At 36.1% G+C, this 26,479-nt stretch overlaps 1 long non-coding RNA gene across 1 annotated transcript in view; it reads right to left on the minus strand.

Moving 5' to 3' along the window:
* The window catches only part of LINC00559 (long intergenic non-protein coding RNA 559), a 59,471-nt gene extending 39,156 nt beyond the window's left edge, over positions 1–20,315 (minus strand). Inside the window, exons 1-3 of the long non-coding RNA NR_047489.1 lie at positions 19,371–20,315; positions 7,181–9,259; positions 6,545–6,800 (exon numbers count right to left, since the gene is read on the minus strand). This is a non-coding gene — a long non-coding RNA (long intergenic non-protein coding RNA 559). The remainder of the gene's footprint in view (positions 1–6,544; positions 6,801–7,180; positions 9,260–19,370) is intronic.
* Positions 20,316–26,479: the final 6,164 nt, after the last annotated feature.

Raw genomic sequence — 26,479 nt, forward strand, 5'->3', positions numbered from 1 at the left:
AAAAATCTCAGTTTTAACTTGTCACCCTAACAGCTGTTCAGAGAGATGTAACTAGGAAATTGTTTACTATTTATGCAAATGTTTTGTATACAGCACTTGCAAGAAAGAATTTCAAGATTTTCTAATATCTGAAGTCCAAATTTGAGCACTATTAGTAGGAGTCTGAGCAGATGACAACTGCACCTAGTCTTAATAAAACCAGCAAGAGACTCTGCTTATTTTTATTTTTTGTCTTTTGTATATTTGTTTATTTATTTATTCTCATTAGTGCCTTTTGTATCTTTTACTTTTAACTTTAATTGGCAAATAAAAATTGTACATATTTGTGGGGTACATAGTGATGTTCTGATATAAAATATATAGTGGGTGGATGAGTTGAAAAAGTGTGTTAATGCATCTGCCATGTTGAATTTAACAATGGGTGATTCATGCCTTGCCCTTAAATTTGTGTCTGTTTCACAGATATTTTAAAATATCATCTTAGAGTCTGGGTGTGGTGGCTCACACCTGTAATTCCGGCACGTTGGGAGGCCCAAATGGGTGGATAGCTTGAGCTCAGGAGTTCAAGACCAGCTTGGACAACATAGTGAGAACTCATCTCTACCAAAAATACAAGAATTAGCCAAGCATGGTGACACATGCCTGTGGTCCCAGCTACTTGGAAGGCTGAGGTAGGAGGGTCACTGGAGCCTGAGAAGTTGAGGCTACAGTCAGCTGCGATTGTGCTACACTGCACTCCAACCTGGATGACAGAGCAAGAACCGATCTCAATTTAAAAATAAAAAATAAAACAAAATATCATCTTGGAGCACCATTTTTATAGAATAAATGGGGAGAATTTTTATAATAAAATTAACTAAAATATATTGTGGAGTCAAGTGTAAAAGCTTATGCATTTTCTTTTTATTTAAACCGTGTGCTCTAAAAGCTACTTTCAGCATGCTGCATTGGGCTAATCAAATCCTCCAAAGTTATGAGTTCATTATTCGTTGCACTTAAAAGCCATGGCTAAAAATAAGTGCAAAGAGCAATTCTAGAATAACACTGAGATTTAGCAGTCTTTTATGTCACATTCTAAATAAATATTAGATTTTATTTTCAGATTTTATATTCTAACAGCACTGAGCATTTTATGGATTTTTTTTTAATTAAAAGTGAGATGAACACTTGCATGTTGAAAAATAATATCCAATGCCAATTTTAGTTACTTCACAATTTTGTTTATGCCTAATTCGGAACAGCAATAGCCACTTTGAATGTTAAAATGATTAAAGACAAAATTAGTTATCTGTAGTTGATCTTTTATCAGATGACTAATTTAAAAGATGAAACTTTTAAATTATGTATTATATATTCTGAATTACTTCAAAATGTAAGTTTGGTAGCAAAAATTAAATCCACAAAGAATGACATTCTGTTCTTGAATGCCCTATGCATTTCTTTATTTCTAAACAATTGGATATGCTGTTACATCTTGTCTATTTTACCCTATCATGTGAGAGTACACCTCTCATTTTTCAATTGATACACTATATTTTACATATTGTGGTATACATGTGAGTATTCTGAGGTATCCATTACCTCAAGTATTTATCATTTTTATGTGTTGGGTACCCTTCATGTCCTCTCTTCTAGCTACTTTGAAATACATAATGTATTGTTGCTGACCATACTCACCCTACTCTACTTTCAAACATAAGAACTTACTTAACTTCAATCTAGCTGTACATTTGGATCCATCACCTAAGCTCTCTTCATTTCCCATACTATACACACATCTTTCCCAGCCTCTGGTATCTATTAATATTATTCTATTCTCTACCTCCATTCGATGAAATTTCTTAGCTCCCACTTACGATTTAGAACATGTAAAATACTTTTCTCTGCCTGGTGTATTTCACTTAACATAATGACCTCCAGGGCCATCCTCCAGTGCCATCAATATTGCTACAAATGACATAATTTCATTCATATCACTAAATAATATTTAATTACATATATATATGACATTTTATTTCTTCATTTGTTGATGGACACTTAGGTTGATTCCATATCTCAGTTATTGACAATAGTGCTGCAATAAACATGTAAGTCCAAGTAACCCTTTAATATACTGATTTCTTTTCCTTTGAATGAATATCCAGTAGTGAGATTGCTGGTTAATATGCTAGTCGTATTTTTAGTTCTTTTTTTTTTTTAAGTCTCCACACTGTTTTGCATAGTTACTGTACTAATTTACATCCCCACCAAGATTATATGAGTTCCTTTTTTCCATATCCTAACCAGTATCTATTATTTTTTTTCTGTTTTTACTAATAGCCATTTCAATTTGTTTAAGAGGATATCTCATTATAGTTTTGATTTGCATTTCCCTGATGATTAATGATGTTGAGCATTTTTTCATATACCTATTGGAAATTTGCATGACTTCTTTTGAGAATTTTCTATTCTTGTCCTTTGTAAACTTTTTAGTGGGATTATTTTTTATTTATTTATTTTTTTACTGTTGAGTTATTTGAGTTCTTTGCATAGTCTGAATATTAGTCCCTTGAATAGTTTGCAAATATTTTCTCTCATTCAAAATGTTTTCTCTTCACTTTGTTGTTCCTTTGCTGTGCAGAAGCTTATTAATTTAAAATTGTCCCATTTGTCTATTTTTGGTTTTGTTCTCTGTGCTTTTGAGGTTTTGGCCACAAAATGTCTAGACATGTGTCCTGAAGTGTTTTCCCAATGTTTTCTTAATGTAGTTTTGTAGTTATGGGTCTAATATTAAAGTCATTCATCTGTATTGAGTTGACTTTTTAAATATGGTATGAGATAGGGGTCCACTTGCATTCTTCTGCATATGGATCTCCAGTTTTCCCAGCACCATTTATTGAGGAGGGTGTCCTTTCCCAGTGTATGTTATCAGTGCCTTTGTCAAAAATCATTTGGCTGTAACATATGAGTTTATTTCTGGATTCTTTATTCTGTTCAATTCGTGTACATGTCTGTTTTTATACCAGCACCATCTTGTTTTGGTCACTATGCCTTGTAACATATTTTGAAGTCAGGTACTGCGATGCCTCCAGCTTTGTTTTGTTGTGTTTTATTTTTAAATTCAGAATTGCTTTGACTATTTGGGCTCTTTCTTGGTTCCACATAAATTTTAGGATTTTTTTTTCTAATTCTATAAAAAATGATATTGATATTTTGATAAATATTGCATTGAGTCTGCAGATTTGTTTGGGCAGTATTGTCATTTTAGGGTATTCATTCTTTGGTTCTGATATGGTTTGGCTCTGTCCCCACCCAAATCTCATCTTGAATTGTAATCCCCATAATCCCTACATGTTGAGGGAGGGACCAGGGGATCATGGGGGCGGTTTCCCCAATGCAGTTCTCATGATAGTGAAGCAGTTCTCACAGTTTTATAAGCATGTCTTCTCCCTTCGCTCTCTCCCCTCCCTCCTGCTGTCATGTGAAGAAGGTACTTGCTTTCTCTTCACCTTCTGCCATGATTATAAGTTTCCTGAGGCCTCCCCAGACATGCAGAATTGTAAGTCAATTAAAACTCTTTTCTCTCTAAATTACCCAGTCTTGGGTATTTCTTTATAGCACTGTGAAAACAGACTAATACAGGTTCCATGAGCCTGGGATGAATTTCCATTTGTTTCTGTCCTCTTCAGTTTCTTTAATCAGTGTTTTGCAGTTTTCCTCATAGAGATCTATCTAGTCATATTATCTACGAGTCTGCTTAGTGCCTTATTTTACTATAGTTGAGCTTGCATTCAAGTTGCAAGACACAGTCCTCTTCACTTTTCTAGAGCTGTGAGCTGTGCTGCCTGGTATTGGGGAGGGGCGATGTCACCCCTTGGCCACCCCCGCTGGTGTTTCACTAGGTGATATGCACTCAAGTCCACTGGCTCCAAGCCCAGAATGGCACCAGGACTTGCCCAGGAATTGCAATCCTTGTGACCTAAACTGCCTTTCAAATTTATTTATGACCCCAGAACACTTTCGTCTGGGGTTTAAAATAAATTTGAAAGGCAGTTTAGGCCACAGGTGGGGCTAGCTGGAACTCAATTGCTGACCATTGGGATGGACAATTCACCTCCCTCCATGGGCCCAGGCTCAATTCTGCTCTATGTTGATTTCCACTGTGACAGGGCAGCATTGGATTCTAATGCAAAGTCTGATAATCACTGTGCTCTCCTTCCCCCAAGCAAACAGATTCTTTGTGCCATATGGCCACTGCTGGGGGGGTGAAGGAGGGGCACTGTAGGCAATGCAGGACTGACTTTCCTACCTTCTTCAGTGTCTCTTTCCTTTATATGATGTTATACCAGGTACTATGATTACTGACTTGATTTTTGGTTTTTATGAAGGTGCTATCTTGTGTGCATAGTGGTTCAGATTGGTCTTCTTGCAGGAGGGATGATCACTGGAAGGTCCTATTTTGGCATTTTGGTCTGCCACCTCTAAAATCAGTGTTTTAAATTTTTTCTGGGTTGTAATCCTTTTAATCCTTTTATTGTTCCGATCCATTGCTGAAGAATTATTGTGTCCCTTTGGAGGTGTCATATTTCCTTGCTGTTTTATATTTTATGTGTCCTTATGTTGATATCTGCAAATATGGTGTAACAGTTGCTTTTTCTGATTTTTTTGGAGTGGCTTTAGTATGGGAGGACTTTTGGGGGGGATATATCTATGGAGTTGGTTGGGTAGGGTTCTGCACTTGTGCAGTCATGTAGTCTCTATATTATTTCTTTGACTATAAATCAGCATCAGTGGTATCTGTATTATCCTCAGTGACTGAAGGTGTGGTTATTAGTGGAGGCTGTGGTGAAGTTTTGCTGGGGACAGGGATAAATTGTATCCCAGTCTTTGGGCCCCATGGTGGCATCTGTGGGATGAGCATGCCTGTTCTTGGGCACCAGAGCAATGTACACTGGCACTGGTATAAGTTGGTCCAGGTTGGTCAATACTTCGGCTTCCAGGTGGCTTGCTTGGAAGCTAGTAGTGGCAGTTGTGGGCCACGGGTGTGGGAGGGTTCTTCGGCTCCTGGGCAGCAGGCCTGGTGTGGAAGATGATGATAGCTATATTGGGACAATCCTCTCGGTTCTGAGCAGTGAAGGCTGGTGTTGGTGATATTTGTATTGAGCTGAGCTGACCAGTCTCCAGGCCTACATGTGGTACAGGCAGGTAGGTGCCAGCTGTGGTGGTAGCAGTAGGGTAAGGGAGGCCCAACCTCAGGCTTCCAGGAGGAGTGCTCAGGTGCCAATGGTGGTGGACAGGGGTTTGGCAATTACCAGGTCCCTGGACATCATGCTCCTGCATGAGGGTTGTGAAGCCAGGCTGCGCAGGCTTGTCCTTAGGTCCCCTGAAGGTGTGTGTAGGTACTGGATGTCGTAGGCAGGGCTGAAATTATCTGCAGGACCCTGGCAGAATGCTTGGGTGGAGAGTAGCAGTGGGTACACTGAGGTCCTGCTACTGAAGATGGTGGGCAGCAGTCAGTGGCAGGCAGGTGGGGAAGGTGCGCTTCACTTGCACTCTAGCCCCAGTGGCAGCAGCCTGCAGTGATGGCAGCCATGGGTGGGGAACTCTGTGTGGGCTCATGAAAATGAATTGTGGCTCTGCTGCTCAAGGAGGCAAGTTTGCTGCCAACACCCCATTCTTCCACCCTTGTGACAGCAGCCAGCCATGGTGGTGGCTGCAGGCAAGGGAACTCAGTGGGGCCCCAGGAATGTGGAGCTGCAGGTGTGGTTAGGCCCCAGTGTAAGGTGCTGTCTGTTCATGGTTGGGTTCTCAAAATAGTGCCTTTTTGGAGCTTCTTAGGACTTGGGGCATGAGTGGGACTCAATGTCAGCTTTCTCTCTGGAGAAGTGCCATCGTACAGTCTCAGGCAGCTCCCTATTTTAGAACCTGCAAAGTTTGAGAGGCTCTACCATGGCTAAGATTGCAGTAGTCTGTTCTCTCACTTACCTTTCCTCCACAGTGGGGAGTTTCTCTAGGCTCCAGCCCATCCCAGCCAAACAGGTTTCCAGGCTTCTCCCTCCTTCCTTGCTTAGGTGTTTCCTATCACTTCTCTGTTGAATTTGCATGCTTTGTTTTGGATGATCCATTCAAATTGTGATTACTCATAATTTGCTTCTTCTTTGTAGAGGAGGCTAGTAGAGTTTTCTTTGGTTAGTCATCATGAAACCACTTCTCATTTTTTTTTTTTTACTGTACTAGCAGAGCATCCTCCTCATAAAGTTTATTTTAAAAATTTCCTTTTGTGTTCCCCTAGTACCTTAAATAAAATAAATTATGTTGTTAAATTTAGCTTGTATGAATAAGAGGTATTACTCCAGGTTCTCTACAAAGCAGAGACCAAGAAAGCATTATGTATGTAAAAGATTTACTGGAAGAACTTTTGTGTATTGAGAAACCAGAGGAGGCTGGAAAACCATCGAACTACAATGTAGTACTAAACCCTTTGAAAGAGAAGAATGAAAGGAAGGGAAAACATAAATTCTCAGATTACAATGCAGTTCACTCTTAGAAGAATCTGGAAACTTACAGGACTGAGCCAACTTTCATATCACAGCCAAATGCAGTAATTGGTTAAGAATACTTCCTCCACAGGAAATAGTCTCCGAGCATAAGTAGTGACAGATTTAGACCTCAGCAGCTGGAGTCATGGGTTGCTTATGACCCTACTAGTAGGAGATCTGAGATATGCATTTTTACGACAGTTTTCCTGCTGTTTCACCCGGATCTACTTCTCCAGCAGATTTGTGTGAAGGCTTTTCTATTGTATCTGCAGGCCTTTCTTCCTGAGAGGAAAGTCAGAAGAGGAAAGTTAGTAGGATGAATTATAGGCCCAGGCTGCAGATGCCCCCAGGGCTCCAACTGGTTGGTACTCATTCCCCCACCCTGTTATACATTAAATTTTTTTCTCACTGTCAGCTAGTAACTTGGCAAGTCACACTGGCTTTTCTTGTGTGGCTGCTGAATGCTTAATAATCTTAAGCTTCTTGGTCTAGGTTTGCTGCATATGTTTATTCACAAACATAGTACAACACAGAATTACTATGAGAAACTCAAATGAATTAACTGGACATCACAAAGATTGTTTCCTCCCTAAAAGCAGCCCTATCTCTTCCTACTGATCAAGATCAATTATTCCTGCCAGTATAGTGACAATTCTTTTCACCTGGTAAACTTTGGGCACAAGGAGTCTGAACTTCCCTGGTAGTCATAAATGGTAGTCCATTGGGACACTTGCTGCTTCTAGTCACCAAAATACACCAGCTTTGAGGAACAGGACCTTCAAGCTGATGAACCCAGATTTGCAGAGATGGGAAGCAAATCCTTCATTAAATCAATAGGAAGTGTAGTAAGTGGAGTTACTCGTTTTTCTCCTCCTTGGTTTCAAGACCTTCTGTTCTTTCTAATGATGAACAACTTTTTTCTTCCTATGAAATACCACATCCTTTTTGATTATTGTCTTACACCTGAGACTTGAGGAGGGTGCATTTAGAAGCTCTTCCAACACCTTGTGATACCAGCTGCTTATGGATGGGTCTGTGTGTGATACAATGATTGAAGCCCATGGGTTTGGGCTTTGCCCCTCACATCCTTCACTGTCAAGAGGGTTTCCTGATCAGAAGCTACGCTGTGTATCAGGCATACCATAAGCACCAGTGAAGGATTTTGGCTCAGACTCAAGGGTGGCAAAGCAGACTTATAACCAGAATGGGTATCCACGACCTTCGTGGAAGGGAGAAGCTCAATATAGTCAATTTACCACCAAGTGTCCTTTAGGTTCCTTTAAGGGATATTCATATTAAAGGTTGACAAGTTGGTCTTTCAGAGGCAGGAGTAGCTAGATCAGCTATTATAATTAAGCGTCTAAGCTCTTAGATCCACATGTAGTCTCCAACTTTGCCACTCCATTCTGTGACAATTCAGGCAGTTTTCATGTGACTGATAATAAAGCATGATGTTAACCAAATTTTATGGGAGGTCATTGTCTTGAACTGCCTTCCTGCACTAGGCCTCAGTAGACCAGACCAAACCAGAATGGAGTCACTCCTGATAAGTGCCACTTAATCAAACTGAACTTTGAAATGGGCAAAATTTCAAGAAGAAAAACAAGCAAGATTCCAGTCAATTCAATTTAGCATAATAAGGAAGTCCCCTCGTTTTAATTCTGTAAGGAAAGTAACCCTGGAACAAGCAATTCACTTTCCATTCATTATTTCTTTCTTCAGTCTTTTTCTGCCTATGAAGCCATCCTTTTCTGCTCAGCTCAGGGAAGCTCTTATTCTACAGAATAGAATGCTACCCCAATTCATGAATCATGAAAGAAAGCCAGTTATATCATTAACTAAATGTATTGTAGTCTTGTCCTTTGACACTGGCTAACACCAACTGGCAGATGACTGACCTGGGACTTTGTGCCAAGAATGATTCGAGCCTCACCTTCCAACAGAGATGGCATCCTCTCACCCGCCAGCAAGGGGGTGGGTCAGTCATAAATCCCCATCTTACTGCTGCATTTCTCAGGCTATTCTTGGCATCACTTGTGTTAGCTTGGTAACACAATAATCCAACATCAAGATGACATTAGACATTCTAGAGGATCAAACAACTTACTGCTGGTAAATACCTTGAGAGAATTTTCTCAACAAGGAAGACAGGCTGTTGGGAAAGGTAGTTTGTGGGGTCTTTCCACCCCCAGTTGACTGCATAAAAATGGGCCTTGATCCTAGAAATTTTTTATTGCAAAACATCAAAAGCCCAGATAGCCTCTGCAGGGCCTATTGTCTTATATGCAAGTATCTTTTCTTATAAGCTCAGGGTGCACTCCTTTGTTCCGTTTAAGCTCGTAAGTCAATGGTCCTCAGGAACATACCCAGTTTTTACTATTTCAGACTCCATGGAGGAGGGGTTGGGTTCTTCTGCTTCAGCCCGACAGGGGTGCGTGTAGGCCAATTGCCCATTCTCAGCCACCTGCCTGGGTGACCTGCCTGGGTGACGTGCTAGCCATAAGGGATCACAGCACTCTATTAAGCTTATCTTGTTCTGTTTCTTCTCTCTGTAAGTAAAGTGTGTTGTTCTACCCAGTGCTTGACCATGTTGCATTTTTCTTAGTGACTCCAGTTCCAAGATGCAATAGGAAGAAGTGTTTGGATCCTCCCCCTGGGATTGATAACTGCTGTGAAGTGTTCTGCTCCGGAGAGCATAAGGAAGTTGGGAGAGATGTCAAACAGCAATTCTATCCTGATCTCTGTGAAAAAAGGAGAAAGGAAATAAATTTTTCAATTGCAGTGCAGTATTAAGAAAATTTGGCAAGGCCAATGGAAATTCCTACAGGAAAAATCATCTGTCTGAGGATTCTCACAGCTCATAGGAATAGGCTAGCTTGAGAATCTCTGTCATACTCAGTTATCAGTTGGAACAACCATGAGAAGCATGTTCAGCACCACTATAGAGATGAATTAGACTGCAGCAGCTGGGAACATTATCCCTTTGCTTTCCTCACAGTAGTATATGCAAGACCACCAGAGTGGGCTAGCTCATTTGGGACCACCACACCTGGTGATGTCAACCAAACACAGAAAATTTATGTCGGAAAGCATAAGAATCTATCAAAGCACAAAGCGCTGTTAGGGCTAAGATCTCAGGAAAAAAATGAAGCAGAGAGGGGAGTCCAAACTTGAGTGCTGCTTTTGCCCTCAACACATCTGCTAATTTTAAGCAGCATTCTTCTCTTCCATGCACCCACCAGTTTTAAAGTAGCTCTTTTCTCCTCAGTGTACCGGGAAATTCTAAAGAAGCTGGGACAAGTCTGAGAATTTTAACAGAATTGACAATGAGATGCTGACAAACGGAAGAAAGGCTGATATTCGTGTAGGATCATGGGTGGGATATTTTGAATATCAGTACCTGTCAAGAAATGTTTGCCAAAAGCGGAAACCAATAGAACCTGGAATATGTTGGACAGCTGAATACAAAACATTTTAAAATGTGGAAAAAATGGACAATCCATAAATTACCACCCACACATTTATCTTTCTAAAACTGACATAATAAGAGATTGTGTGTGTGTGTGTGTGTGTGTGTGTGTACATCCACAATTTAAAATGTTCCCACAGACCAGAACAGTTTTCCTCACTGGTGAAATTTCCATACTCTTTGTAGGAAAAATTAAACACTGATCAAAGTCACCCATATTTTTAAAAGAAAAAGGAACATTTCCTAGCCCATATTTTAGGGCTGGTATAACCTTGAAAATTGAACCTAACAAGAATAGATTAAGTTGAAGAGTATATAGTGAATCCCTCTCCTGAATATAAATGCAAAAATTCTGAAGAAAAACAAGTAAACAAAAAGAAACTTGAGCCAGTGGTATATAAAAGATTAAATACATTATTTGCATTTGAGTTTATACCAGGAACTCAAACATTTTTACATTTAAGTATCAATCAATATATTGCATAATATTCACAAAAACCCTGAGGAAAAACATAACTGAAACCAAATTGAATATCAGAGATGTTCTCAAACACACAGTTAAAGAACTAACAATAACAAAAATATATACAATAGTAATTTCAGACTCCCTGTTGAAAAGAACTAAAATAATCTTGAGAAGAGACTTGAAATGGATTATAGTTTGTGGTCCAGAGATAATGAGTATGCACGACATATGGTTCACACTTTAGTACAAATTAATAATTCCTCTGGTAAGTGGACATGAATGGTGAGTATTGATACGTCAAAACCTTTGAGGCTGAAAAGCAGGTAGAATAAATTTTATTTATAATGGAAGAATTTTGAAAATGCAATTTCTTCATCAATGTTCAAAATTAGACATTAGAATAGAAATAGATGCAAAAATTAAGTAACTGGCTACATAATGTAAACAGATAAGATAACATGAATTGGAACATTGTTTAAAGCACAGGCATTGTCAACCATTGATTAGAGTTATGATCTCACAAGTGAAAGAAATGAACTTATTTGAGGAGTTGCTTAACTGATCAAGGGGACCTAACTGAAATTTGATGCAATATATGCAAAAGTGCCTAGAAAATGTTATAGGCAATAGTGTTGAATTGGAATAAGAATCTTTATATTAGGGATTAGACGGAGAAAGAGAAAATGGATACATGTATCGTCGATTGGATGTTATAAAAAGCAAAAATATGTTTTGAAATGGAGGATAGTTCTCATAAAGTAAAAATAAAGAAAATAAGATCAGAAGAAGTACTTTCCAAACAACATAGTAATGTATAAGATTTTCTGTAAAATTCAGTTCAAAAATATAAATGCAATTTATAGCTACAATCTGGCTTAAGGAAAATGATATTTTCCACTTTAATAGCCAGTGTACATCTGAGTCTATCCCAAAAGAAGCAGCTCTATTTCAGAACAGTGTATGCCTGCAAGATTAAGAAGCCTGATTACTAATATATGGCAGAGTTTTTTTTTTATCTTAGAAAAAAGAATAAGAATATATAACCCTTCAAAGCCCTCATGTTCATCATGCTAGTTATTTATGAAACAACAGTATAAAATTTACTTTCCAAGAAATCTTTATAAACTCAATTAAGAAAAAAGGTATCCTGCATATACCTACACAAGTTAAAAAGTTAAATTTATCATTTAAAATATTTCCTATAAATAAAACTGCAGGCCTGTATGACTTTAACAGTGAATTACACCAGCTATTTAAGAAATAATTAATACCAGCAAAACTCAGAAAAACTCTTCCAGAAAATAAACGAGGAATAAATATTTTCCAGATTGTTTTACAAAAGTAGTGTCAACCTGATATTACCTCGATAGAGTAAGATGTCACAAGCAGAAAGGCCTCAAGATGAAAATCAAAGAAACAAATTATAGCTAAATATTAATATTCCTTGTGAACATAGATTCACAAATTGTTTTAAAAAGCTATCAAATTGAAATGAGAAACATGTTAATAGGATAATATATAAAAGTAAATTGCATTTTATCTCAGTAATAAAAGGTAAGTTTAACTGTTATGCAAATCAAGCAATAACATCCAACATATTAAGAAACTAAAAGAGAGAAAATGTAGAATCATGACAAAAGACACAAAACATTTGATAAAATTTAGCACCTATGTATTCAACATTATACTGGAGGTCCTAGCATGTGCAATAAACAACAACAAAAAAATCCATACATAAATGGCAAATATGTTTGCAAAGTAAATTAAGTTTATATTTGCTTACAGAATCCATGAAAGTTATGCAGACACTGTAAAGGAATTTATAGAAAAGATGTTGGAACTAATATGTGAATTTAGCAAGGTAATAGGGTACCAAATTGATTGTATTTCTACATATGCACAATAAAAAGCTGAAATGAATTTTTAAAAATATTTTATATTAGGATTATTAATAGGAAAGATTTATGTTTAAATTAAATAAGATATGCTTACGTGCTATATAATAAAAACCATAAAACTTTGCTGAGAAAAATTTTAAAAATGAAATAATTTTAAAAAATATTTTATAGTAGCATTGTAAGTATATTTTATAGTACTATTGGAAATATGAAATATTTCAGTTTGACAACATATATAAAAGTGCTATATAATAAACACTAAGAAACTATAGAGAAAAATTCAAGAAAATATACATGGGTAAACTTATTTCAGGTTCATAGTCCTGAAAGTAATGTATGATTATGTCAGTTCTCATTATGTTGATGCATACATTAAACACATTCCCAATTACAATCATAGTTGGATTTATAAGAGAGAATGAAAAGATGATTTTAAAATTTATACAGAATTTCAGAGAGATTGGTTACAAGAAACAAAGTTAGAAGTTTTAACCTACCTTGTTGCAAGATATATTTTAAATTTACATTTATCAACATAGTGGGCTGTTTCTTTAAATATAGATGTATACATAAAAAGATCAGAATAGATTTGGGAAACATGTCCATATATGTATATTCAATTTTCTTTAATAATTCTGAGAGGATACTTCAAAAAAGAACAAGCCTTTTTAAAAAATTATGCTTGTATAATTAGACACCCATCAGTAAAAAAAAAGTAGCTCATCTTTTATCTCACATTATACAAAAAACTAATTTAGATTGTTTCACTAAGTAATTATAGAGCAAAAATTATAAAACTAACTTCCACAAATCAATAAAGGACAAAATAATTTATGGCTTTGGATTAGGCAATATAGAATACAAAAAGGCAGACAATGAGAAAAAAAGATGATATATGGACTTGGTAGATATGAAAAACTTTTACTTTTAAAAAAATACTAAAATAAACGAAATAAACTAACCATAGTCTGGCAGAAAATGTATTAGTTTTGTCTGTGTCTGTGTGTGTATGTGTGTGTGTGTTTGTGTGTGTGTGTGTGTGAGAGAGAGGAAGAGAGAGAAAAGGAGAAAGACAGAATTTTATAAACAGTCACAACAAAATGATATTATGTCAAACACTCCAATTGAAAACAGACAAAAAAATTAGTATTAAGAGATCAACAACAAAGGCACTATGACTCGCCAACATTATTAATCATCAGGGAAATGGTGGCTAAAACTATAAGGAGAGAACATTACAATTGTTTGAATTAAACAGAATGGCAGAATCAAGATTTAACAAACATGTGGATCAACTAAACCTGTAATATATTGGGATCTAATGAAATTAAAGAGCTTCTGCACAGCGAAAGAAAATACCATCAGAATGAACAGGCAACTTACAGAATGGGAGAAGATTTTTGTAATCTATCCATCTAACAAAGGGCTAATATCCAGAATCTACAAGGAACTTAAACAAATGTACAAGAAAAAAACAAACAACCTCATCAAAAAGTGGGTGAAGGATATGAACAGACACTTCTCAAAATAAGACATTTATGCAGCCAACAAACATGAAAAAAAAAGCTCATCATCACTGGTCATTAGAGAAATGCAAATTGAAACCACAGTGAGATACCATCTCATGCCAGTTAGAATGGCGATCATTAAAACGTCAGGAAACGAGATGCTGGAGAGGATGTGGAGAAATAGGAATGCGTTTACACTGTTGGGAGTGTAAATTAGTTCAACCATTGTGGAAGACACTGTGGCAATTCCTCAAGGATCTAGAACAAGAAATACCATTTGACCCTGCAATCCCATTACTGGGTATATACCCAAAGGATTATAAATCATTCTACTATAAAGACACATGCACATGTATGTTTATTGTGGCACTGTTCACAATAGTAAAGACTTGGAACCAATCCAAATGCCCATCAGTGATAGACTGGATAAGGATAATGTGGCACATATACACCATGGAATACTATGCAGCCATAAAAAGGATAAATTCATGTCCCTTGCAGGGACATGGATGAGGCTGGAAACCATCATTCTCAGCAAACTAACACAGGAACAGAAAACCAAACACCGCACATTCTCACTGATAAGTGGGAGTCAAACAATGAGAACACAGGGACCCAGGGAGGGGAACATCACACACTGGGGTCTGTCAGGGGGTGGGGGGCTAGGGGAGGGACAGCATTAGGAGAAATACCTAATGTAGCTGACAGGTTGATGGGTGCAGCAAACCAACATGGCATGGGTATACCTATGTAACAAACCTGCACATTCTGCACATGTATCTCAGAACTTAAACTATAATTAAAAAAAGAGTTTCTCCATTTTCATAGACCCATTATTTTCCAGTCTGACATTTAAGACCTGATCAGAATGGTTTGTCACATCTAGCATTAGTGGAGGTTTTTAAAAATTCTATTCAGAGAAAAATTTACAGTTCTTAGCTGGAGAAATAATGCTGAAGGCTAAGTATAAGGAATAAAACATGGAATTTTCCAGGAGACCATACTACAAGTCAAGAAAAGCTGATCTAAGTTTAAATGTGGTGAATTAGGTGAGTTTGAACTCAACTTTCAAGACTAAGACCATTAACAATAACATGTGCCTGCTTAAAGAAGCACTGCAAGCTTGGTCAGCCACAAAAAAGCTCCAGGAGTAACAAGGATTGCCTATCAAAGGAGAGTGGAGACTCAGCAAATATAAAGGGAATGAGTTGTAGAAAGTAGAATAAGGAACTATGGATAAAGTCTAGGAAATGTCAGGAATTTGTAGATATTTGCTCATAAAGCTAGAGGTATTAATGAGGTACTGCTTTGTGTTTCTTTTTGACATTATAAAACACTATAAAGTTTTCTTATCCAATTAAAGCAATAAAGCAGAAATTTTATGAAATGTAACTTCTTGGCAGAAAAACTTCTCAGGAATAATCATGTTCAAAGATATATGATATGTTCTTATTATTGATGATATAATTTCATAGAATGGCAGTTCTCTGTGGAATGACCACTTGGCATTATTTGTTTCCACGCTGGGTAGAATGGTGTTGATATAACTAGATAGGTTAAAAAATACGCCTAAAAAACTTTAGGAGAAAAAAAGCACAGTGTGTTGTGTGATATACGATATATATTTTAAAGAATAGTTAATGTTTTCATTGTTGCTCATACATTAATCTATGAATTTAAAAACATGTATTTATAATAAAATGTATCATCCAAACCTACACGGTAATTTACCTACAAGGTAAATCATACGTAATTGCAAGAAGTAAAGAGATTGATTGTCTGGGGGAAAAAAGATGAGAGAAAATATACGTATAGTACAAAGAAAAAAATACAAAACTTGAATTTGATAGATCAGGAAGGAAGGCAGGTCCAACACAGTGAGGTCAGAGAAATCCTGAACAAGAAGTCAATCAGAAAAGTTTTACAAGGAACAAATGATTAAAACTAGGCCTTAAAACAGGAAAAAGAAAAAAAATAGACATGAGGAATGTATGAACAGCTTTCTCAAAATGGTGAAAGTAGAAACCTAGTTTTGAGAACCCCTGATATGTCTAGTTTGGTTGTGGCATGAATATCAACAGGACACTTAGTGTTGGCTACCATGCAAAGGTAAGTGTAGATGACACACATTACAAAACTTAAACCTAGAGCTAAAGGATAAACACTAAACATTTTGTCTAGAAGGGTGTTCAGAAGTCCAGTTTAGCAAGATGAATCTGCAAGTAAATTAGAATGACAAGAGACCATGATGGAGAAATTCAAATAAGAAACAATGAAAAAAATGTTAAAAGAGAACTAAGAAGGAGATAAGATATAGCAGTACCAGATGATATGGTAAAAGATGTAAAACACTAAATTTAAGATCTTAAATCTGGGTCGGGCGTGGTGGCTCATGTCTGTAATCCCAGCACTTTGGGAGGCTGAGGCGGGTGGATCACAAGAGTAGGAGATGGAGACCATTCTGGCTAACATGGTGAAACCCCATCTCTCCTAAAAATACAAAAAATTATCTGGGCGTGGTGGCGGGCAAGAGAATGGCATGAACCCTGGAGTTGGAGCTTGCGATGAGCCCAGATCGCGCCACTGCACTCCAGCCTGGGCGACAGAGCAAGACTCCATTTCAAAAAAAAAAAGATCTTAGATCTGAAAACATAAAATATTAAAAAGCATCTGAAAATAGATCGTATCAGGTGAACATATACTAATATCTTAGTTTGTATTAATACGCAAAATCTCTCCCCATTTCTCTCCTACAACCCTCAAACAACAAACTCAGCTGTGCAAGGAACATAGTTTTCTTCAGTGCTCTATAGCCCAACTATGTCTGTAGTTTCTATTTCTTCAGTTGCTGGAAACTGGATCTCAGTCTATTGTTTCACTTTTGATAACAGGCTTGTGTATATGTAGAGAAAGGAAAAAGGTAGGCATCTGATCTTCTTCCCAATCATTATGTTGTCAAGCTGGCATCTGCTAGGACAGCCACACAAGTCATTGTTGTCTTGTTTTTTAACAGTGTCTTTGAATCCAGATGTTCCTCTTCTTCAGTCACTCTCAGTACATGCTCACAATGCTACTTCTTTGAATCTTTCTGGTGTTTAGAAAAGTTGGTGGGGCTGTCAGAAAACATTTCATGCTACAGTTGAACACACACCAGTCACTCTGTTGTGACTATGTTGAAACTTGTAGAGCTTGCTGAGAATGTCTTGGGAACTTCTGTCTAGATACACCTTACATTTATTTTAGATATGGGTTTTTGCAGCCTCTATGAGTTCTAAACCACAATAGATAAAGAAGGGTTATCTGCCATATAGGCTATTCCCCATTAAGGTTTAGGGATTTCTGTTGCTAGGATTCCCAAATGTAGTCCCTGAACGGAAGAAGTTCCTAATCATTTGTAGTATCTGTAGTATCTATAGTCAGCTCTCTTTATCTGTGGGTTAAGCATCCCTAGATTCAACCAATTGCAAATGAAAATTATTAAAAACAGATGGATGGTTGTGTTTGTACTGAACATTTACACACTGTTGTTTTCCTTGCCATTATTTCACATATCATACAGGACAAAAATTCTTTACATGGCATTTACACTGTATTAAGTATAAATAATCAAAAGATGATATAAAATATATGGAAGGATGTGCATAGGTTATATGCAAATACTACACCACTTTATATCACAGACTTGAGCATCTGTGGAGTTTGGTATCCACAAGGGTTTCTGTGGCCAATTCCCCCTGGATACGGAGGGATGACTATATAGTTTTACCCTAAAAAGCTGAAAATTACCTATTTTTATGTTGTATTCCCTCTTCGAAGCAACCAGTACATGAGGGACAAAAGAGACTGACAAGGAGAAAGAAAGGAACAGAGAGAAAGCCAACAATAGAGCCCATGAGAAAGGCACAGAGAGAATGAGCTACAAATACAGATATAGATATACACAGCTATCCTATAAACGATTCTAAATATGACAGGTTAATAATAACTAGCTGCATTTGTCTCCTAGGGTCACCATAGCAAGTCGCTACAGACTGGCTGTTATGAACAACAGAAATTTACTTTTGCACTGTTCTGGAAGCTAGAAGTCCAAGATCAAGGTGCCATCAAGATTGGTTTCTGATAAGACCTTTTTTTTTTCCTGGATTTTGACTTACTTTCTCACTGTGTGCTCATGTAGCCTTCCCTCTGTGTTTGTGCTGAGAGAGAGCTGTCTGGGGTCTCTTCCTCTTTTAAGGGGACAATAGGCATAGCAGATGAGGGGCTAGCCTTGTGACTACACTACTTCCCTAAAGACCTTAATTCAAAATAAATCACTCTGGGGGTGTAAGAGTTCAACATATAAATTTTAGAAGGATAAATTCAACTTCAACATTATCTCACTAAAAGTGTCTTTGAAGGCCGGGCACGGTGGCTCATGCCTGTAATCCCAGCACTTTGGGAGGCAAGGTGGGCGGATCACCTGAGGTCAGGAGTTTGAGACCAACCTGACCAACACGGAGAAACCCTGTCTCTACTAAAAATACAAAATTAGCTGGGCCTGGTGGCACATGCCTGTAATCCCAGCTACTAAGGAGGCTGAAGCAGGAGAATCGCTTGAACCTGGGAGGTGGAGTTCGCAGTGACCTGAGATCCTGCCATTGTACTCCAGCTTGGGCAACAAGAGTGAAACGCCATCTCAAAAACAAGAAAAAGGCTTAGAAATAGTAACTTTCTTTTACTGTGTATACTATTTTTTTTTCATCAGAATAACCTCATAAACAGGAAAGTTCTTATTAATGATCTTTTTTACTTAGCACTTAGGGAAGAATGGATTTATAGTAGCAAATAGTAGTCACAAATATATACAGTAATGTAGTGTTTCTAAAACTTTTCATGTGCCTAAAAAATGTCCTGGAACTATAATTCCTTCTTAATATTTATACTATTTAGTTTTGGAAATAAAATGGAATTGCAATCTTTGTGTTAAGATAGAGTGCAGATGCAGAATGGAAGCAGGAAGAACACAGGCGTGGGTATTAGTCATTTCTGGGCTTGAACCTTAGTTCTTTTCACCTTCTGTGTGCCTCAATTTCCTCCTATTTAAAAGTGGAAGAGTAAGAACTAAAGAAGGAGGAGAGAAACACGAAGGGTGGCTCGATAGTCAACAGGTTTATTTCAAACCTGGGAGGGACTTCTGACCAAGTTAGGTCAGAAGCTGCACTCTCTTACAGACTAAGAGTTTTTAAGGATTCAGGGTGGGAGAGTTTATCAGAGACTTCGACTGCTTCTGTGTCTCTTTGTTGTGCTTATCTGAGAGGGAGAGTTGTGTGTCTGTTCCCATACATCTTTCTGCAGCTTCAGGCATATCCCCTGAGTCTGCCTTTAGCTTCCCTATCTGAGTGCACCAGCAGAGAAAGGAATGTGCTTATTAAGGCCCACTGTTTTACTGGGGCCCCATTGTATGAGGGTGAAGTTTGGCAGTTACACAAGAGACTTCCTCCCTGCCTTCCTCTGTGCCTGAGCCTGTCTTACCTGTGTTTTACTGTCTGCTCTTTTCTGGCTGCTTGTAGTTAGAAGTGATTTCCTTGAAATGCGTGAGGCTAGAAAGGGAGTGTTTGTCAGAGATGATGGTGCTCATGCTCTGTCAGGAAGTTAAGTCACTTTTACGAGGATTCTGTGCGGTAAATATGATTACATTTGTAAATATCCTTGAGAAAGTGATGAGCACCTACTCCACAAATGCCTCCCTTTTCTCCTTTCCCTTTTCAGAGCATCCTTCTTTATTTTATTATTATTTCTTTTTGAGACGGAGTCTCGCTCTGTCATGCTAGCTGGAGTGCAGTGGTGTGATCTCAGCTCACTGCAACCTCCGCCTCCCTGGTTTAAGTGATTCTCCTGCGTCAGCCTCCAGAGTAACTGAGACTACAGGCAGGCGCCCGCCACCATGCCCAGCTAATATTTTGTATTTTTAGTAGAGATGGGGTTTCACTGTGTTATCCAGGATGGTCCTGGATCTCCTGACCTCATGATTCGCCTGCCTCGGCCTCCCAAAGTGCTGGGATTACAGTCCTGAGTCTCCGCGCCCAGCTGCTTCCGTCTTTAGAAACCCAAATGTTTCCGTTTGCCGTGGCTGCTGCAACAAATTATTATTAATCAGGCGCCTTAAACAGAAAATTATGTCTCACACTTCTGGAGGCTGGAAGTCAGAGAGTGAAATGTTGGCAGTGTTGGTGCCTTCTGAGATTGTGAGAGGATCTGCTTAAGACCTCTCTTGTTGGCTTGTAAGATGGTCATCTTTCTGTGTGTCTTCGCATTTCCTTCCCTATCTATGTATGTGTCTATGTTCAAATTTCCCCTTCTTACAAGGACACCAGTCAAATCGTATTAGAGCCCACTGTAATGACCACATCTTAATTGTCTTCATAAAGACTCTATTTCCAAATAAGGTCACTCTGTGTGGTAGTTGGGGTTAGAATTTCAATGTAAGAATTTTGTGGTGTCATAATCTAACCCCAAACACCATATAAACAAATGCATAAGTGGAACCATCAAAATACCTGTTTAAGTGAATCCTTGTATTTGTCTCTCATTCTGAGCAAGATTTTCACTTTATTCTTCAAATTATTGAACACAATGTTAAATCTGTTTGCAGACAAAACATTTTAGACATCGTTGTTTTATTTTCACCTTTTTAAAGAGTCTACACAGCATTAAACTTTATACTTGAAATCAAGAAAAAAAAAACAATTTATCTTTCAAGTTTCTTTTTCCAAATATTAAAATAACATGCTGAAAAATTTAAATTGTCAGATATGAATTTCATCTTAAGAAAATTATCACTTGTTTAATATTACTTGATACTATCAGCCAAAGTGGCTGGTTTCCCCAGTTTCATTATAATTACTGTGTACGTTTATAGGAATCATGCATGTAATATAATCTAACCCTTTTGTAATTTTCCTGAAAGCAGGTTAGTTAATTTATGCAGGCAGGGTGCCAAAGCAAAATCTGTAGTAAACAGATACAATTCTCACTGTGCTTTGGTATTTTTTCAGTTTTTACCATTTCAAATATGTTTATTTTTAACATTTTAATTAAATGAAATAAAAAGAGCTGCTATTTAATTTACCTATGTGGAAGAACAGTTTGGCTTCTTCAAGAAGGACACAAGTGACTATAAACTCTGAGCTGAAACTCATTATGTATTTTGATTTTTGTTCCTAGTGCAAGTGGTAAATTCCTTCTGCCTTATGCACATAATAATTAGTGTCATTATCTGCTGCTTTATCATAATACTATATACACCAAAATGTAAATTAGCAGCCCAGCCCTTTAGAAATGATGGAGTGGATGACTGAAGTGCAATTTACTGATTAAAAGTTTCATTTTCTATATCTCACTGATGAATGCAGCCCTTTGCTTCCCTGAGATGTCAAATCCTGAAGGATATCATGTTGGGCTGGAACATTCTAAGAATGGAGATTATGTGAATGGATATGGCAACGTAATTATTGTGCCTTTTTTGCCAACACTTTGTATGGAAATTTAAGTAAAAGTTTAAAAAAGCCATAAAGAAGAAAAACCTGTTTGTCAATTTTAATAAAGTTAAGGGTATGAGGTATTAATATCACACCGACACAATAAAAAGTCATAAGTCTAAGACTGCAAAACCTAAAAGTCATATAGGATATTCTTTCATTGAACATTTAAAGATGTATATATACATACATATCCCATATATGTGTGGGATATGTGATATATATATATATTGAAATATATATATGTCTTTCAAATGTGTTTATTTTGTGTGTATAAATGTTTTGTGTATATATATATATGTTTATTTTGTGTGTGTATATATATATATATATACACACACACACACACACACAAAGACCAAAGAAATCCTCTGTTAAGTGAATGAATGAATACTCATAATATTACTTGTATATAAGAAGGGATTTATCTGGTTAAATAGAAAGAGGACAAAAAGAAATAATTGAATGGCACTATCAAGTATAGAGGACTTAAGTACAGTGAACATTTACTAGTGCAAGCAACATGCAATCCTTTGTTTTATTCCCGTAATATGAACAAAGATAAGTCTGATTTTTAGAATCCAATTTTTGGTGATAAGTACAGAGGTAATCTTTAGACACCACTGCCAACAGCGCAATGAAGGGGAATAGCTTTAAAATAATAATAATAATAACATACCTAAGAGTCCTATCTCAAGGCTATTAGGCATTTGTTGCAGCCCTTAGCAAAAGACTCTAGTCATAAACAGGCCTGTTCAATCATATTAATGAATGAGAAGAGAAAGTGGCTTGTCTTATAGTTTTCTTTTCTTTTTATTTTTTTCTAACACACACACAGACGGATAGACCCACACAGTTTTTCTCTGATAATTCTATCTATTTTGCATAATCTCCTGCTTTTTCCTACTATTTTCCTTGTTTTATTCTGCTGGTCTGTGTTATTTGGCAAAATATTTTTAAAAAGTCAAATTTATCTGATTGTTTTGACTTTAAAGAGAGAAACTCTGAAGTAAAATGGCCTAAAAAATTAGGAAAACTCTAAAGCCCTAAAGTAATATATTTCAAAGTTCAACCAAATCAATGGCTTAATTATGACTTTAAGAAAACAAGGGATTTTTAGCTTTCAGCTCAGCCCTTCTTACTGTGTTTCTTCCTACCACTCTCATTATCAAAATATGGTTGTGACAGTGACAGGCTTCATACCCTTACAATGCAATATCAACAAGTTGAAAGAGGATATTTTTAAATGCTCTCTTATAAATGTCACTGTTACGCATGCAATATTACTGGAAGGTTTTCTTACTTTAGACTCAAGAAGCTATAAATGTAAGGTATTTTGTCTTCAGAATATGAACTAAAACTAAGTATTCACACATTTCAAATAGCTAAACAATCCACAGAACCAGAAAAAAGACACCAAAATATCTATTATTATGGAAATACTTGTTTTTAAGTCATTGGTAATTTTTCAGAAAGTGATTCATGTGTTTTTCTTCCATTTTTAGTATTATAAGAGGAGAAATGATTGTTAACTAGTTTTCAACAAAGAAAAGCTGTGTTTATACTAGGCCCATCATTAAATGTTCTTGGAAAAATACTTGATTAATGAAGCTTGAAAAATATAATTCATATTTACTTATTTATAACTCTTGGTAGCCCTGAATCCTGCTATAAATAACTTTTAATGTTTTCAACCCACAGAAATTGCGTGTGTGTGTGTGATAGTCTTAACAAAATGTTGCTTCAAATTATGAAGTAATAACTTTCTCCTCTATGAAAGGAGAAAATTTCTACAACCCATTGAATTATCATATGAAATTGCCTTAGATTATGATTTATTAAATGTTAGATACTTTCCAATCTCATATTTGGTGGGAGTTATTGAGAGGAATCAAGAAGACAATCATAACTGGATTCATGATATCAAAGTACATAATGAATTTATGTATTCATTTTTGAATCCAGGTGATTTTACTAGAATAAGTTGTCCGTGGTTTCGATTATGTAGCTAAGGACTTTTCTAATTTACCAACATAAAAACATCAATGTATGAAAAGCAACCACTCATAACCTCTTCTGAAGATCATACATGAGCATGTATTTTATTTCAATTTTTTTAAAGAAAAACAGGAAAGTAAAAGTTTAGATTTTTATCTTTCCAAATCAAGTACTTTATATTTTCTCTCAAATATAAACTTTAAAAAACAAACGGAGACCCTAGAAGTGAGAAATAAACTCATGAAATTAAATATATATTGGCTCAACTTAATAGCTGTATGAACATTTCAGAAGAAAGAGTAAACAAACAATGGTAGAACAATATAAGTTTTCCAAAATGAATAATAGGAATAATATTACAAATAATCATAATAACTAGAGTATCAAGGTGATGTTAGATGGTAACATATGATCAAAAGTACATGAAACAGGAATGGCTGTGAGAATAGGACAGAAGAAAAAAAACCAAAGAACTTAAAGATATCATGGCTGAAAATTACCCATACTTGTAAAATCCATAACTTTTACATAGATATTTTTAAAGACCATGAAAATAAACCCCAAGAATCAGCCACACCCAGACACAGCATAGTCAAGCCAGTCAGTTAGATATACAGAGTGAATTTTGATAGCAGTAAAAGACAGATGACCTATAACATACAACGAAACATCAATGCAATTAATGACTGAAATGAGAGTGATGGAGGACAGAAGAGGATTGGACATCCTTAAATTGCTCAAAGACAAAAAGGGGGAAAAAACCCCCACAAAACAAAACTGTCAACCCAGACTTCTGTTCTCAGTGATAATATCATTCATGATTGAAGGCAAAATAAAGACTTTTTTAATAGAAATAAACTAAGAAAATCTGTTGCCAAGACACTTTCTTTTCCGATACCAGAAAAGAGAAGCAAGCATCAGAAATGGTAAATATATGAGTATATGCAAAATTTTACCTCTTTTTGAGTCTTTCTTCTTATTCTTTTTTAAAACATGATTTACTGAAACTAAAATTATGACATTTTCTTGTTAACTTTATCATGTAAGTTTGTGTATTACATGTAATGATTATAAGGACAGCTTGTAGTTTTGCCAAATTTTATGATCATTGATTGGAATTTAGACTGAATTAGAGCACAGTATAAATGGAAAACTCACCAAATAATTTTAGAAAGTTTACAGTCAGCGTTCAAATTATATAATATTTCATCAAATTTACAGTGTTTATTTTAGTTTTCTTTCCAAGAACAGACAGAAAAGAGAAAGCAAAGAAATAACAACAAAGAAAAGAAAAAAACAGAGAAGATAATTTGAAAATAGGATATTTTCAAAAGTAGACGTTTAGTTTTCATGTTGTATTTCTGTAATGGACACTCTGGAGTTTATAACATATACATTCAGGAGGTCTTACATCTGAAGATATTTTCATTAAAATATATTTTAATATTCTTATAACTGAATAAGATAAGAAATTGGGGAATTGCAAAATTAGCCCTTGAAACTGTAAAATTTTTCCCTCAGAATTCCACTTTAGTAGCATTTGGTGTCGCAGTGTAATCTCAAATTAGAAATATTTTTTATCTCTCTGGATGCAACTTTATCTGATTTTCAATTTTTGTATTTTTTTACTTTATGGTTATAATCTGTCGTATTCCTAGGGTGTGCCTAGTTTATTTGCCTTTTATTATAGTTGCTTGGATTATGGTTATCTAATTACAACCTAGTAATCGGCATACAATGTTTTCATTACACATGAAAAGGATTCATACCACATATATTGTGAATGTTTTGATTTGTTGTTGTTGTTGTTTATTTCTGAGTTTTCCCATCTGAATAATAATATTCTACATACTGGCTCCTGTTTCCTGTTCTTGTATATAATTTTCTTTCTCATCATAATTTTCCCTTTGTACTATTCCTCTCTGTTCTAAAAATACTATTCCAATCTGCCTTTCATAGCATTCACTTGATTTTTTTCCACAAAATCAGTTCTTTTCAATCTAAAGACTAGTTTTCTCAGTTCTGCTGTTTCTACCAGCTTCTGCTGTGTCTCAGATCACTCACAAGCTTTCTTCCCTTCAGTCATCTCTCTTTCTCAACATACTGCATTTTCACAGAGATAAAATACTTCTGTACTATTTTGACTATGACAGTCTCCAGTGTCCAATGACTTTTGGAAGTATCTGCGTCTTCTGATTCTTTCAGACTCATTTACCCTTCCCTTTTACGTATTACTTGTTTTTTTCTGATCAACTTTCTTTTATCATTACTGCCAATTTTGTGAATTCAAAACATGTGTCCAAGTACTTACTATATATCACAGTTTATTTTGAATAATAGAGCATGTAATATAAGACAATTAAATAAGGCCAGGGTTGCCAAAATTGATGAATATGTTCAAGACAAAAGGTTCATGGGGGAAATGAAATGTATAGTAAGCTCTTTGTCTCATGAAATTCATATTGTTTGTTACCTGGTCACTTAAGTCCAAGTAACAAACAATATGAGAATATGAATATGGAGAAGCTCAATGCCTGCTGTATTATTTAAATCATATTTTCATCTTGACAGTAAATGTAAGTAGTTCCTGGTCTAATGTCCATTTTATAGCAGTTTTCACCCACTGTTCTATTCACTTGTGTCTTGTTTCCATCCTCACTTCATGAATCTTTTTTTACTCTTCATAGGCAGAACATATAGAAAATATTGACCCATAACTTTTACTACTGTTTCCATTACTCTTCCTCTGTAATCCCTACACCACAGACCACATATAGTACCTTTCTCTCAAAATATTTTCATACCCGCAAAATTACTGTTTATTGCTACAAATTTCCATAATGCTGAATGTTATCATCAGTTTTTCAATTAACTGATTAAATGAAGTTATTATATTTAAAGCAACATTTTGATTATCCAATATCAAATATAACATTTGAAGTGAAGAGAAAGCAGTTATCTACATCACAGAATAATGAAATAGGTCAGGTTTTCTACATAGAAATACACCAGATATTAGAGTCAGTGGACAGATGGTTGAAGAGGCATGAAGTACCTTCATACCTATTTAATATGGTCTGTCTTTTGTAAAGTAAAGCCAGGGTA

The sequence above is a fragment of the Homo sapiens genome, chromosome 13, assembly GCF_000001405.40.
Source record: "Homo sapiens chromosome 13, GRCh38.p14 Primary Assembly".
In the NCBI taxonomy this organism is placed as follows: domain Eukaryota; kingdom Metazoa; phylum Chordata; class Mammalia; order Primates; family Hominidae; genus Homo; species Homo sapiens.